Below are 14,730 nucleotides of genomic sequence, written 5' to 3'. Positions count from 1 at the left end.
AGACAAGTTGTTATTTGTCATCCCTCTCGCCCACCCCTAAAAAGTTAACAGCATTTAACTCCCTCTCTAAAACACAGAGTTTAGTCAAAACCCTTTTTGTCTATAGACATAGAGTGAACGTTTAATTTGGCTCTGGAAGCTGTGCTGAAGAAACCACTCAGGAGGCCAGAGGGGATGTCTGTGGTGGGTCAGATCTCTCAGTGTGAGAGGGGGTTAGACGCGGAGACAGGGAGGAGTCAGTGTGGTCTGAGGCTCCACGGTGATCCAAGGCTGTGTCCACAGTGGCTCTGAGATGGAAGCTTCCTTGGTTTCTGCAGGACACCCTGGCAAAGCAGTGTCCCAAGAACAGTGTGTCATCTTTTTCATTTGGAAACTGAGACAGTGGTCTCCTATTGTAACAGGACTCCCCCACTCTGTCCTCTCTGAGCCCCATCTCAGGAGATTTTTGGCATGGATATCAAGGCAAAAATGGGTAGTTTTTTCAGAGAAGATGAATCATCTGCATACTCTCTTCAGAGGGAATTGGCTTTCGAAACCCAAATCTCTCATGTGATGTAAATAGTGAAACTGAAGGCCGGGATGTCAGGGTGTTAGGGAGGTTGGCTATGCTAGGAAAGCAGGAGTGCTGAGTCAGTGGACGGAGGCAGATTTTGATGAGTATTGCGAATTACTGGTTTGGCATGGAACATGAAATGGCTTTGTACCAACTCATTGGTGGGGAAAAAAGGGGCTGGCACGAGCAGAGACCCTAACTGGCTTAGGTAGAGTGATGGTGTCTGTGAGCTTCTTCTCAGAGATCACAGAGCTTCCCAAGGAGGGTGGAACTGATAACTTCCCTAAAGCAAGGAAGAGGGTCATTCTCCTGTCTCAGTTACTACTGTTGTGCCCGTCGGAGTGGATAAAGCATATTTCTTAGAGAGGACCACAGAAGCGAGGGCTTTGGGGAGGGAGGTGATCTTGAGGAGGGTAGGAGAAGTGGAGTGAAGACATTTTTTCTTTCTGATTCTTCCAGAAGAGGACTAAATTGGTTGGTGGATGATAGTTGTCCTTTGTATGGAGGCTGGATGTAGAAGGTGCTGCAAGCTCTGCAAGCTGATTAGTTAATGTGGAAGCTGAAACCTGCCTTGGGAAGCTGACCATTGACCATTGTCTTGCTTTTACCTGGGTTGCTTCCTTGTTTCTCTTTAGGTTTTTAAGAAAGGATAAAGGCTGAACAGATCTCTGCAGTTACAATTATTCATACTAGAAGATACTGCTAACCTCTTTGTTATTTGAGCAGCTGGATGAGATTCCTGATTTCCATAATCTGTACCTGGAGGTTTATACAGGAGAGGATCACTGGGGCAGACTTGAACCATGGTGCCCACAAGTGGGGAGGGTGCTCCAGCGGCCATGGAAAGAACTTCCTTCTGCAGTTGGAGACAGCCTTCTGTGTGGGTGAGTGGAGACATAATCCCTTTTATCCTGGCTTTGGTTTGCTTGATTACCTCTTTAGCAGTGCAATTCGTGACTGCAACAGGTGTCAGACTTTGTAAAGGCAGAGGCTGAGAGCTGGCCAAGACACTTTGTCATTCCTGACCTGTATGGCTGGAACTTCTATACTATGAAGTCTTATTCCCAATTGCAGTCGCTTGTTCTAGGGATGGGAGAATAAGACATTGTGTTGATTTCTGACAAAGTCCATGAACCAGTCACAAAGGGCGGTCTCTTCTTCCAAATCCAGAAAAGAAGCTACGATGAAAGAATTGGGGTGGGTGGAATGGGTGTGAGCGATGGTGGTTTGTCACTGTCTTGGAAAATCGTCTTATGCTTTTACAAATCACAGGAAGTGAAAGAGAAGAAACAGCTGGATTCTTTTCATCACCTTGGCACATATTTTATCCTGAAATAACACACTACACTTTGAGAGAGTGTAGAAAGTGGGCAGTGCGATAGAATGGGAGCCGGGACACTGAGATTGTAGTCTGCTGCTGACCAGTTGTGGAACTCTGGCGAGTTGGCTCTCTGGGTGGATCCAGTTTGTCCTCTGTTGGAGGGAGCAGGGAGAGCAGGGGTGGACAGGAATTAGGTGGTCTCTAGTCTATGACTCACTGGCCGCAGCATGACCACCTCTCCCTCACGCAGCCAAGGATGGGGATTGCTCTCAGCTGCTGTGTCCTCTCCCCTCCCTCCCTCCCTCCCCAGCGGGTTATCATGCTGACTCGACTAACACAAACCCCCATCTGGATGCAGTCCAAACGCCAGATGTGCCCCCGATTAGTGTCAGTCTGGGGAATGTTTCCATGACTGAAAGGTCAGTGTCGGCTGGAAGTGCCCAGAGTGGGCGTCTGCTCCCCACCCCACGTCAGCTGCAAGGGCTGAACCTTCCATTATCTCACTGGCCAAGGAACGGAGCTGGGTGGGGTGGGAGGCAGCAGGAGTGGGGTGTTGGCCAAGTTCAGGAGGTCCTTGTTTTACTTGCCTTCTCTCTTCACTCTCAGGCTGAAGGACAGAGTGTGATTTTCTACTTGGAAGAGACTCCAGGGCTCTGCAGAGAGGGAAGCCCTGCTGGTGTGTAACCGAAAACACTTAGCTCTCCTTTAGATCTGCAATGTGCTCGTGTCTCTTCTGATTTTCTTAGGGGGGCTGTCACCTCCACTATGGAAAGAGAAATGAATGATAATATTGCGATGGGCCGGGCTGCCATGTTTTGCTCTATTTACAGGTCATTTTAAGTATCGCTTCTACACTTCAGATGGGCTTTCATGTTTAATTTCATGCTTGTAGGGCCATGCAAGGCTTTCCTCTAGGTAGCAATGAAAATTAAATACAATTGAGTTTGATGTGTACCTTATTGATTCCAGACCCATTTCAGCAGACTGTGACACTTCAGCGACCTGCAAATTCTACACATTAGAGTTCATATTTTATACAAACTCCGTACACCTAAGATGTGGACTTAACATTTCTACCAACAACATCCAACTTCCAACAAAAGATGCAGGCCCATCAGAAGATGAAAGCTACTAATGAAGATGCATTAAAGATGATATTTATGGCCACCCCTTAGGGAAAAAAAGATTCATAAATAATTTCATGGAAATTACACCCAAAATAGAGTCATAATTTCCTCAATTTCACGTTTTCCTTTTGGTTCTCTGCAGGCCACTTCTTGTTTCATGCGTCACCACAACTCCATTTTAAAGGGGTGAGGTAGGAGAGGGGAGAGGTTGTATGTTAACTGGCCTGGGAACGGCTAAGTAATGAAAACGGCTCGGCACCTGTGATTGATAGTGTTCTGTCAAAGCACGGAACTTCTCTTCTTTGCTTGTGACTGACTGGCAGGTGACGTGTACTTCTCTGTGGCCCACGGCTCCTCTGGCAGAGGTGGCCTTACGTGGCTCCTCTGGCAGAGGCAGCCTTAGAGAAGGCCACTTGAGCAGGGGGAACAGTTGGTAATCAGAGGTAAAGTTGAGGAAGGCCAAGTGGGCAGGCCTGATCAGAAACGCTTTCAGGGTATTGTGGCAATCATCTCTCTTCTGCAGCCGAGCTGGGAATTAGAGTCTTTCTTCAGCCGGGAGTGGGAGAAAGGGAATTTTTACTAGAGGGCATGGCCTTCTGAGGCAGGGGAAGAAAGCATCTTCTGCCAGCTGGGGCAGGGAACGGAGGTGAGTCAGAAAGGCTTGTGGAGAGTGGTATTCCCCACTGGGGGTCACAGGGCCACTTGTGAAATGACGCCTAGATGTTGGTCTACAGCCAAGGTTCTCAACCTTGGCTGCGTATCAGAATCACCTGGGGAGCTCTTACAATCCTGATGTCCAGGCCCCACCTCAGCCAGATTACATCAGAATCTCTGGGGTGGGACCCAGGCTGAGGTAGTTGTTAAGGCTCCCCGGGTAATTCCACTGTCTATCCCGTCTTGAGACCCATTGATCTAGGACCTTACTAATCAAAGCGTTGTATGAAGACCAGCAGCATCGTATCACCTGGGACTTGTGAGAATTGTTAGACACGTAGAATCTCAGGCCCCACCCCAGCATCTCCAGTTTAAAAATCCCCAGGAGATTTGGACTCTATTAAAGTGTGCGTAGCTGGGGTTTTCAAACTTGACTGCACATTAAAATCATCTGGAGAGCTTTTAAAAATCCCAATGCTCAGGCCACACCTCATACCAATTAAATCCGAATTTCTGAGGGTGGGAGACAAGCAGCTTTTTAATAGGTTTTCAGGTGATTCCAACGTGCATGAGTTCTCAGCCGTGGATACATATTAGAATCACCTGGGGAGCTTTTAAATCTCCCAATGCCCAAACCCTACTCTCAGAAATTCTGATTTAATTGGTCTAGGATAGGCGGCAAAACGATTCCTAGGTGATTGTAATATGCAGCCAGTGGAGCCTCCCTTCCAGAATGTTGGTTCAGCTTCACTGAAGGTACAACCAGCTTAAAAACCCTCACTGCAAGTCAGTGGATCCAGTAACAGTTGGAGAAAAAGAATGAGCAGGCCATGGCTAGACTTAGTTTCCAGGGCTTTGATATTTGATCTCCTTACATGTGATAACTACGATTCTTTTTTTTTTTTTTTATGAATTCAGATATTTATATGCTCCTCTAGTTTTCTAATAAAGTTCCTTTTGAAAAATTCAACCTCAATGCAGCTGAGTTAAGAGATAAAAGCACTGGCCTACACCTGGGGCCACAGGATCTCTGAGCAGCTAAGGGGTCAGGTGGGATGGAGGCAAGAGAGGTTATGGTGGAGAATTTGGGTGCACCGGGACCCAGAGAAAGACCCCGAGGGATAAGCAAAAGGTGAGCTGATTGCAATTTTCTTGTTCTATTTACTCTGTGATACTGTCATCATTTCTAACATGACTGTGGAGTCGAGTAGTTATAGAATTGCTGGATTTAGCAAATAAAAACCCATAGCACCCAGTTACATTCAAATTTCAGGTAAATAATTTTTAGCATAAGTATGACTCATGTAATATTTGAGACGTACTTATTCTAGAAAAATTATTTGTTTATCTGAAATTCAGTTTTATCCTGGTATCCTGTATTTTATCTGACAACCCTCTTCCATACACAACCCTAAATTCTCAGTGTTAAAAAATCTGCCCTGTGAGTGGGGCTTTCTCCAGGCCTTGAGCTGGCTCTTGCCGTCTTGGGGTGATGTTATGTCTATGGGTGATTGTTAGAGTCCTGTTCCCAGGTAGAACAGGGAACAGGATTCTAACAGGATTTTTTTTTTTTTGAAACGGAGTCTCGCTCTGTCGCCCAGGCTGGAGTGTACTGTTGTGATCTTGGCTCACTGCAACTTCTGCCTCCTGAGTTCAAGTGATTCTCTTGCCTAAGCCTCCCGAGTAGCTAGGATTACAGGTGCCTGCCACCACGCCTGACTAATTTTTTGTATTTTTAGTAGAGACGGGGTTTTGCCATGTTGGCCAGGCTGGTCTTGAACTCCTGACCTCAGGTGATCTGCCTGCCTTGGCTTCCCAAAGTGCTGGGATTACAGGTGTGAGCCACCGTGCCCTGCTGAGAACAGGATTCTAATAGCTACCCATGGACTTCACCTGTGTTCTACAGGTGTTGCTCAGGGTCCCCAAACTAGCCCCAGTGTGTGTGCACGTGTGTGACTCCGTGCCTATGGACAATGTCCTTGAACTTCACTCTGCCGGGCTCACCTGCAGTCCTTGGTGATGAGGTGGTTTCTGGGAGTTCCTCTAGAATACCCTCCTCTCCTGTTGTTGCTTGCCGAGTTTAGGCTGTATATGTCCAAGAGAAAGGAGGCTGGCACTACCCTGGGATGCCGGGGAATTTAGGCTGTATATGCCCAAGAGAAAGGAGGCTGGGCACTACCCTGGGATGGGTAGTTTTTTCAGAGAAGATGAATCATCTGCATACTTTCTTCAGAGGGAATTGGGCTGGAGGCAACGTGTTGAGCTGCTGGTGAATCAGACAAATGTAGAGAAAAGGCGGTGGAAAGGAAAGCACGGTTCACAAGTTGCAACCATTGCATCTCCCTGAAGCGGCTGTTCAGTGTCTGAGCCCGGCTTTCAGCAGAGGCTGCTCCATTGAAATACATTCAGAGTCAAAAGTGCAGTTTCCCGTTCTGTTCAACTCAGAACAGCTCATTCCCTGCTGGCTTGTGAAAGGAAAATATCTTGGGCCCCCAGAATCACTGAGGAAAACTCAAGCTGGAAACTGCTTAGGGCAAACCTGCCTCCCATTCTATTCAAAGTCACTCCTCTGCTCACTGAGATAGATGCATATCTGATTTGCCTACTTTGGAAAGGCTAATCAGAAACTCAAAAGAATGTAACCATTTGTGTATCACCTATCTGTGACCTGGAAGAGTCTTCCAGCCTTTGCTTCTAGTTGTCCCGCCTTTCCAGACCAAACCAATGTACTTCTTACATATGTCGATTGCTGTCTCATGCCTCCCTAAAATGTATAAAACCCGGCTGTGCCCTGATCACCTTGGGCACATGTCGTCAGGACTTCTGAGGCTGTGTCACAGGCGCGTCCTCAACCTTGGCAAAATAAACTTTCTAAATTAACTGAGACCTGTCTCAGATTTTCTGGGTTCACAGGCTTCAGAGTGTGAAGGGGCTTGGAGAAAGGGAGGCAGAGAGTGGGGAAGAGCCAGCTGCCAGCAAGAGATGCACAGCTGCAGCCAGAGAGAAGTGCAAGATGAGAGAAGGAGGGAGGGAGAGGTCACCACTGCTGGTTACTTAGCTGGGGATGTGCAGCCAGACGCAGGATGATCAGGAAGGGTACCCTTGGCTTGTCCCTCCAGCCTATCCTTCTAAAGGTCTAAGCTGGTGCTTGTGTGTCCTGAAGCAGTATCCGAACCAATTAGCCTTAAGAAAAGCTCAGGAGGGCACGTGAAGGCTGGAAAATGGGCTGGGCCAGGTTCTGGAGCCATGGCCAATTTTCTCTGGATGTTCTAGAGGGTGAGTGACCCCTTCGTGAGGCTCCTCTGCTGGTCAGGCCCCGCAGGCATGGTGAGGCTTGGGAGAGCTGGCAGGCCTCCCAGGGGAGCTCTCACTTAGAATATCTACTGTTGGAAGTCCTCCCCACTTCCCTCCTGACACTACCGTCTTCCCAGAATAATACAGTGCTGCCGTTTAAATGAAGGTCACAGACTTGGTTTTTGTGTTCCTTCTGGGATTCTAGCTCGGGAAATCCAGGCTCTTCTGTCTCCTTCTCTGTTTTCTGTCTTCCCGTGCCTCCTTCCTGATGGTCTTTCCAGAACATCTTCTCCCACAGGCAGCCTAGATGTGGTGTGGGAGGGCTCTCCAGAGAACGTCGGTATCTGGTGGTTAATTAAAATGATAAATGGGCCTTTTGCCTCTCTGGCCACTTCATTTAGGTCAGGAACAGTGAGAGGCTCTGTGGAAGATTGGGAGAGAAGCCAGGTGAAGGCAGGGACAGCTCCAGGACAGGACAGGCCTCCTCGACTCTTATTTGCAGGGTCCCCTAGTCCAAGAGGGTTGGTTCTCATGCAGATTTTGCTTAGGGCTGGGGCATCTGAGTGAGAGATGGGTCTCCAGGTGAGGCATCCTGACTGGTAATGGGTCTGGGCCTTGCTGACTCTTTGGGGTTTAGCTTGTAGGTTCTCAGCCAGGGCCCAGACCTCCATGCCTTTTCTCCAGGACCACAATGCTCTTTTCCAGAAGGCTGGGCGGCCTCACTGGTGAAAAAGAGCTGACTTGGGCCTCCAGGCCAGCAGTTCACTCTGGAACCTAATCCAGAGTCACAGCCTATTGGCAAAGTCAATGTGCTGTGGACTGTCATACAGACAATGTGTTAGGCCCTGTGAGTCATGGAAGATGGGCTTGGGTGACCCCTGGGGTCAGGCTCACTTCCTTATCCCAGCTCTAGGAAAGAACAGCTTGTCCTGTGGGATTCCTCCAGGCCGGCACATATACCGCAGTTGGGGCTGGGCTGGCATGAGCCCCTTTGGCCAGATCTTGGCTGGCTCTCATATGTTTACCTCTAACCAGGCCCAAGCTTGGCCTGAGGGCCCTGAGTCTCTGCCTGGTGGAGACATTCATGTGGACAGAGCCAGCACCCAGGAGAGACTGATAGGTGAATCCTGACAGGATTGTGATGTATGCATTACTTCCCGTGAAGCTGAGGGGTCTGAATACCCAACTAGTGTGTGTTTAGGGGGTCGAGAAGTGGGAGCTCAGAGCTGGGGGTGTGGCTGGAATGACTGGGAAAGGAGAGAGGGTCCAGTTCTCGTTAAGTCCCTGCTCTTCATCATCATTTCCTGGCTCCTTTCCTCTTACCTGGCATTTCTCAAGTTCTGGGGCAAGGTCTAAATTGGGCACTTGGATGAGACTTTCCCAGGGAGCTGCCAGCCTTCCAGGTCCAGGGTGGTCACAGGACCCGCTGGCTCCACATCTCCTCCTCTCAGTTTGGCCCTCGCCCTAATCCCTGCTGGTGTCTGATGCCAGTAACTTGCTGCCTGCTGAAGTCCTTTCTCATTGTGCCAGTTCCAGGCGCTATCTGGAGCTGCCGAGGTGGATCTGCGTGTGTGTGTGTGTGTGTGTGTGTGTGTGTGTGTGTGTGTGTGTGTGTCTCTACATGTCCTCCTTGGACATTTTACTAAATGTTTATTGGCCCCAAGTGAGGCACAAATTCCACAGTCATTTCCAAACCTGAACTTAGTGGTTGGAGAAAGTGCTGAGCACAGTTTATTAAATGTGTGCCATCCTCTCCACCGTTCAGAGCCTAGTGTGTGCTGCCTTTCCTTTGAGAAGTCTTCTCTTGGGACCTCAGCCCTGTTGTCCCCTGCCCTCTCTAGGCTCCTGTGGTCCAGAGAGTGTGCTTGCACAACCCGGCTTGAGCTGTTGTCCCTTTGTGTCATTTTTGAACAGTGATATGGTTTGGCTGTGTCCCCACCCAAATCTCATCTTGAATTGTAGCTCCCATTATCCCCACATGTTATGGGAGGGACCCAGTGGGAGGTAATTAAATAATGGGGGTGGTTACCCCCATGCTGTTCTCAGGATAATGAGTTCTCACGAGATCTGATGGTTTTATAAGGGGCTTTTCCCCCTTTGCTTTGGCACTTCTCCTTCCTGCCGCCATGTGAAGGAGGACATGTTTGCTTCCTCTTCTGCCATGTTTGTAAGTTTCCTGAGGCCTCCCAGCCCAGTGGAACTGTGACTCAATTAGACTTCTTCCTTTATAAATTACCCAGTCTTGGGCAGTTCTTTATAACAGGATGAGAACAGACTAATACAGTTAGTCTCTTACCTTCCAGAGTGCAAGAACCAAGTCTTGTGAGTTGGCCTGACCCAGGTTCAAACTGTGCTTCTCACTTACAAGCTGATGACTTTGAGCTAGTTAATTTTTTTGAGACTCAGTTTCCTCATCTGTACAAGGGGGATAATAATGCTTTCCTCTCCAGATCATTGTGAGGATTTACGAGCTTATGCAAACTAAGCCCCTGGCACAGTGCCTAGCGTAGGGCAGGCACTTAATAAATCTGAGTTCCTGTTCTCTGCTCTTGTCTCCTCATGGTTGTTGGAACAGGGCTGGGCTTGTGGTCGGCACCCAGAAAAGTAGTGGTGACTGATTAATGATTATGGAGCCTGCAATTATTGGGATGAAGTCCCTAAACAGGGAAACAGCTCTAAGCAAACCCATTAATTAGGGGCCTGTTTGCAGTTCTTTTGTGCTGGCTTGTCATGTGTTAGTTCAAGGAGGGCTTTGTACCCTCAGCCTCTATCCACCCAGAGGTCATTCTGGGAAAATAATGACCAAGGAGAGGCTCAGGCCTGAGGTGTGCAATTGCCACCTACTTGTGACCTTCATGCCCATCCTCCCCTCCCCACTCTACTACTGGTGCAATAAACAAGTTAACAGGTGACAAAAACAGCCCTCATAAAGAAGGCCACTGGCTTTAGGATAGCATTAAGCCTGAGCTAATGGACTTTTTGCTAGGAACCAGGGACTTCCTGAGGCATAGGAGGACTCCTGACTTGGAGCGACCTCTCAGGCCAGGAGAGGCCAACCCAGGCTAGCTACTTTTTATTTTTTACTTCCAAGTATATTTAAAAAAAGAAGAATTGCCAAAATAGAGTGTTACATTACAAAATTGTGTTATAACTTACATGTTTATATTTATCAAGTTAACAAGTTTAAACCTCAAATGCAATATGAATGTTACTTCACAATAATTTCAAGGCTTTAAAAAATATTGTTGTGTACTGCAAGCAGGTGGTAAGATAAACTAATGGGATATAAGTCTAAAGGACCCTTCTGTCCTGGGTTACCCCTCACCCCACTCTATGGGGGACGGTCCCACGGGGCAGCTTACAGCCCAGGGCTCTGGCCTCTGCCGGCCTCAGTGGTCGGTGGTCATCTCAGAGTTGGGTGGGGGCCCTGGTGACAGAGACCTGGAGATGATTCATCTCATGGGGAAATTTAGACCCATTCACAAGCCATAATATGCCTGTAAACAAGAGGTGGGTCTGGCTTTCTTCAGACGTTGTATGGCTCTTGGCTGGTGAGCATTTATGCTGAGCCCAGCTCCAGTGGCCTGCATGCAGTGGGTGCTGAGTAAATACTCAAGTCACCAGCTGCAAGCACAGTCTGCAGTTCTTATTCACTTATTTGATGACTACTGCTTTCCCTATTAGATGGAATTATGCCTGACTTTTCCCTTCTGTATCCTAAGCATATAATAAGTGTTCCATGTATATATTGAAAGAAATGAAATCAAATTTTCTCTAAGAAGCACCCTGAATCAGCCCTTTTCTCCTGGGCTTCTCTTCTCCATTTCAGAGCATAACATTGTGTTGTGATTATATTTATTCCCTTGACTTTGTCCTGCACAGGCTCTGAGCATCTATTTGGTATCCCAAGTACCCAGCATAGTGACTTGCACAAAGCAGGCATTGATCAAAATATCTGCAACTTAACTGAATGAGTGTGAGTTTGGCATGTCCAGGCCAATGGAGACAGCCTCCCTTCTAACCCCAGGCCCAGCATGCTTGGAAGCTGTGTTTCTTGATGAGTATTTTCCTGTTTTCTAAATCTCTGTCCCTAGAAGCCCATGTTCTCCTCTTCCAGTGTTGGGGCACATCTGGTTATTGGTACACGTTGCTTAGTTAGAAACTCTTAAAACAGCATGAAATTGTTAGCACGTTGCTCAGGCCTGCCAAGCTGTTCTTGAGACTTGAGCTTTGGTAGGTTTGGTTTTCTGTTTGTTTTCTGTTTTCATGCAGTTTAGAAAATTGGTCTGTGACAACCTTGGAGGAAATAAGCCTGCCTTGAACTCCACCAAGGGGGAGCAAGCCTGAGATGGCGGGTGGCGGAGAAGGGAGATAAGCTCGGCGGGGAGAGGCTCTGAGATTCCCTGCCTGCATTCCTTTCCTTGTATTCTGGATTGGTCTCTCAGGCTAATTTGATGTGTGGGGAGAAGGGGTGCCCAAAGGAGGAGGGGTGGAACTGGGGAGAGGCTTGTCTCTGCGTGGCTCCTCTCAGGAAGACCGGCAAGACCAGTACAGCACCTTTCGGTTCTAGAGGACAGAGACATGCTCTCTCCAAATAAATGTCTGGGGATGGAGACTGTGAAGGAAGATGTCCCTTCCTCATGCATATGATTCCTCTGTTATCTTTTGGGTATGGGCAGTGTCAGAAGTGTCCCATGTGGCTCCAACACACCATCTCTTCTCCCTACTTTTGGCAGCACTTGTCTCTTGGCAGATTTTTCTTTCTGGAAATAATTTCATATGGGGAAAAGGCTGGGCTGACCTATTTCACTTTGGGTGGTAGTTGCTATCCTTGAGGGTAGGCAGAGCCAGCTACCGCTGCTTCTGGATGGTGAGACCGGGCATGAGGAAGGGTGGGTTGAAGAGGTCTCTAGAACCCCCAGGCAGAACTTGGTTTGACTCCTGGCAGTGGAGATGGGACTCAGGAATTGTTCTTTGGTCGAAATGTCAATAGCAGCATCACCTCTAACCCTTCCCCAGGCACCATGCCTTGTCTTTGGTGCTGTCTGTTCCATCTTTGATGGCTATTTAAAAATCTTTTCTTTCACCCTTTTCCACAAAAGCACTGCCTCCATTTCAGCCTTGAATTTCTCCTCAGAGAGCGGTTCTCAGCTGTGCTGCTGGGTTCTGTGTCTTTATGAGTGAGTCTGAGATTTCTACCTTGCCCCCCAACCCCCTGCATCTAATGAATCTCAAAGCACACCCTTGAGAACCCCAAGGATGGGCATTCTGCCTCCTTATCGCCCCGGGGCACTGAGGTAATTGCATCAGTAGGCGTGTCAATTCTCTAAGGGAACCCTTGTTTATTTGGTATCTACAATGTGCCAGACACTGAGCACATGACTTAGATGGAATGACTTGCTGAAATCATGGAGGCAGTAAGTGATATCCACATGCATGTCTGTCTGATAGCCAAGCACCTTCTCATTCCTCGTACCAGGGGTTCATGAACTCAGAGGATTAGAGTGCTTTGATTCTCAGTCTTTGTCATCTTGCCTGCAGCCCAGTACTTCTAGGCTCGCTTTCTTGGTGGTTCATACCCCAACTCTAAGCCTGTAAGAATAATCGGCGTCAAGGTAAAGTTCCCTTTGTCACCAGCCCTTGGTATTAGTTCGCTATATTAAAATAGGTCTTTAATTTAAAAAGCAGAGGAGGGAGAGAACTAAACATTGAAAGAGTTTATACATTTCTAATTGTGAATGTTTGGCAAGGCTTAAAGGCATATGATGGCTCCCATTTCAACACAGACACTTCTCAGGAATTCCTGCCAACGTTGTTCCCCATCAGTCCTTAGTCCCTTCTCTGCCTCCTTCTCACCTGGAAACGGTTTGAGGCAAGTGTACCTCTCATACACGTAATCTAGATTGGGATTCTTAACTTGGGATTTATGGATGGGTTTCTGGAGCCTGTGAATTTCTAGAAATTGAAAAATGTAGTTGGATTGTTGTGTGTGCTTTTTTCTGGGGAATGGGTTAACAGATTTTATCACATTCACAAAGAAGCTGGTGACTCGAAAGCACTAGAGGTGAACATGGAACTTCCATGTGAGAAACTTCCTTTAGAGGTAAGTGCTAGGATAAGTTTTGCCTCCTCTAAAGGGACCAGTGTGCTTTTTACTTCTTCTAATGTTGTTCTAATGATACCATTAGAACATTTCTTTTTTTTTTCCCATTTTCATTTTATTGGAATTATTTCTACCTGAATCAACTCAGCTTTGTGTAAATGTTATAGGAAGAGAAGATTCATTGAGCAGTTACGTTTTATTACAGAAAAAAAAAAAGAATTGACTTTCATACCAATTATCGTATTGGCCATAGGACATTTTGTAGGGGGCTATGATGTAGAATGACAGAAGGAAAGACGAAACCTGAAGGGCATCTTTACTAGGTGTGAGCTCGAATGTCTTTCTGGGACAAATGTCCGTGAGGTCAAGTGATGAGGTCCAAACAACCTGCTTCACTGTCTCTGGCAGGAAAAGATCTTGGGGCAGGAGGAAGCAAGCCCCTTATAGAGTAAAAAGAAGTTGCCATCATTTTGTGGGCTGTTGTGCTGTCACAGGATATAGTTAATAGGAAAATGCAGACATCAGTGAATTAGAAAACCCACTTCAGCAGTCCCCCTCTTCTCATGGCCCAAGTGAGGATCAAATGTGACTCATCGTGAAGTGATCCTTGTCTATCAAGTCCTACAGGCTTCCCTCCATCACTGAGTGACTCAGGACATGAGCTCTCATTGCCATGCAGAGTGGCTCTTGGCTTGGGTGGCAGGGGCCCTGGGAGCAGTTCCCTAGCTCTGGAAACATCTGTGCCACTTGACCTCATGGGCCCCTGTATTTATTTGAATAACTACTGGAGGATAATGTTGATTAAAAAAAAAAAAAGATGATGTGGTATACTGGAAAGAACATCGGATTTGGGGTCAGTCAACCGTGGTTCAAATCCCAAAGTCTTCCCACCTTTAGTAAAAGACATATTTAACACTTGGGGGTAGCTGGGCATGGTGGCACAAGCCTGTAGTCCCAGCTACTCAGGAAGCTGAGGTGGGAGAATTCCTTGGGCCCAAGAGTTCGAGGCCAGCCTGGGCAACCCAGTGAGACTTCATCTGTTAAAAAAAGACAAAAACAAAAAACACTGTGGGAGAGGGAGGAGATGTTTGCTGGGCCCCTGAGTTAGGTCCATTTCCTCTCTGTTTCCCATCCCTTCTAGAAACTTGTTTATTTTCCCTTGTTGCATCTGTGGCAAGATATAGGTCTCGTGGAAAGGGGACAGTGAGATCATTGGCCTGTTTTGTCCTAATCTAGGCCTGAGGCCTGTCTGTCCTGGGTTCATACTTGGTCGAGCCCAGCTCACCGAGATAAGAGTGTGGGGACAAAGGCCCAGCTAGAATAAAGTTTTTCTTTGCCTAGCACTGGTGGTTTTTAGGGAACCTCCTTAGAAGACAGGTAATGTTTGATCACTTGTCTTTTTCTCTATCTTGCTAATGCAGTTGTGATGGCTGGTACTCTAGCATCCATCTTAGAACAGGAGGATGAGGTACATACATTAGACAGAGTGATAAGCTGGATCCAGAGGATTGAGAAACTGCCAAATAGCCCTAGATCATCAGCTTCTAGCATTATTTTAATTCAGAAAGAAAGAAACTTCTGTCTTATTTAAGTCACTGTTAGGTTTTTCTGTCACATGGGATCCAACCCTAATTAATCTGGTGGTCACACTTTTGGGTTCTAAAGTCAAATTACGTAG

General features: G+C 47.3%; 1 long non-coding RNA gene across 2 annotated transcripts, besides 3 other annotated features; it reads left to right on the top strand.

Annotated features, from left to right (window-relative positions):
* The first annotated feature begins 989 nt into the window (after window positions 1-989).
* LINC01914 (long intergenic non-protein coding RNA 1914) lies at window positions 990-3,114 on the top strand. 2 transcript variants are annotated; one of them, NR_110262.1, is made up of 4 exons: window positions 990-1,437; window positions 2,185-2,293; window positions 2,481-2,550; window positions 2,844-3,114. It is a non-coding gene; the product is annotated as a long intergenic non-protein coding RNA 1914 (long non-coding RNA). The 2 variants fall into 2 exon arrangements; NR_110263.1 differs by lacking the exon at window positions 2,185-2,293.
* Window positions 2,971-4,170: an enhancer, noted in NCBI's record as "BRD4-independent group 4 enhancer chr2:42157683-42158882 (GRCh37/hg19 assembly coordinates)". NCBI's record gives its function as "activates an origin of replication core promoter dependent on BRD2, P300/CBP, MED14 and CDK7 cofactors, and independent of BRD4, by STARR-seq in HCT116 cells {active_cell/tissue: HCT116}" and the evidence as "EXISTENCE:reporter gene assay evidence [ECO:0000049][PMID:35650434]".
* Window positions 3,378-3,467: an enhancer, noted in NCBI's record as "active region_15627". NCBI's record gives its function as "activates an Ori minimal core promoter by ATAC-STARR-seq in GM12878 lymphoblastoid cells {active_cell/tissue: GM12878}" and the evidence as "EXISTENCE:reporter gene assay evidence [ECO:0000049][PMID:35858748]".
* Window positions 3,508-3,567: an enhancer, noted in NCBI's record as "active region_15626". NCBI's record gives its function as "activates an Ori minimal core promoter by ATAC-STARR-seq in GM12878 lymphoblastoid cells {active_cell/tissue: GM12878}" and the evidence as "EXISTENCE:reporter gene assay evidence [ECO:0000049][PMID:35858748]".

Source organism: Homo sapiens, chromosome 2, assembly GCF_000001405.40.
Source record: "Homo sapiens chromosome 2, GRCh38.p14 Primary Assembly".
NCBI lineage: Eukaryota > Metazoa > Chordata > Mammalia > Primates > Hominidae > Homo > Homo sapiens.
The sequence above is the reverse complement of the archived record's forward strand: the minus strand, read 5'-3'. Positions and strand labels throughout refer to the sequence as shown.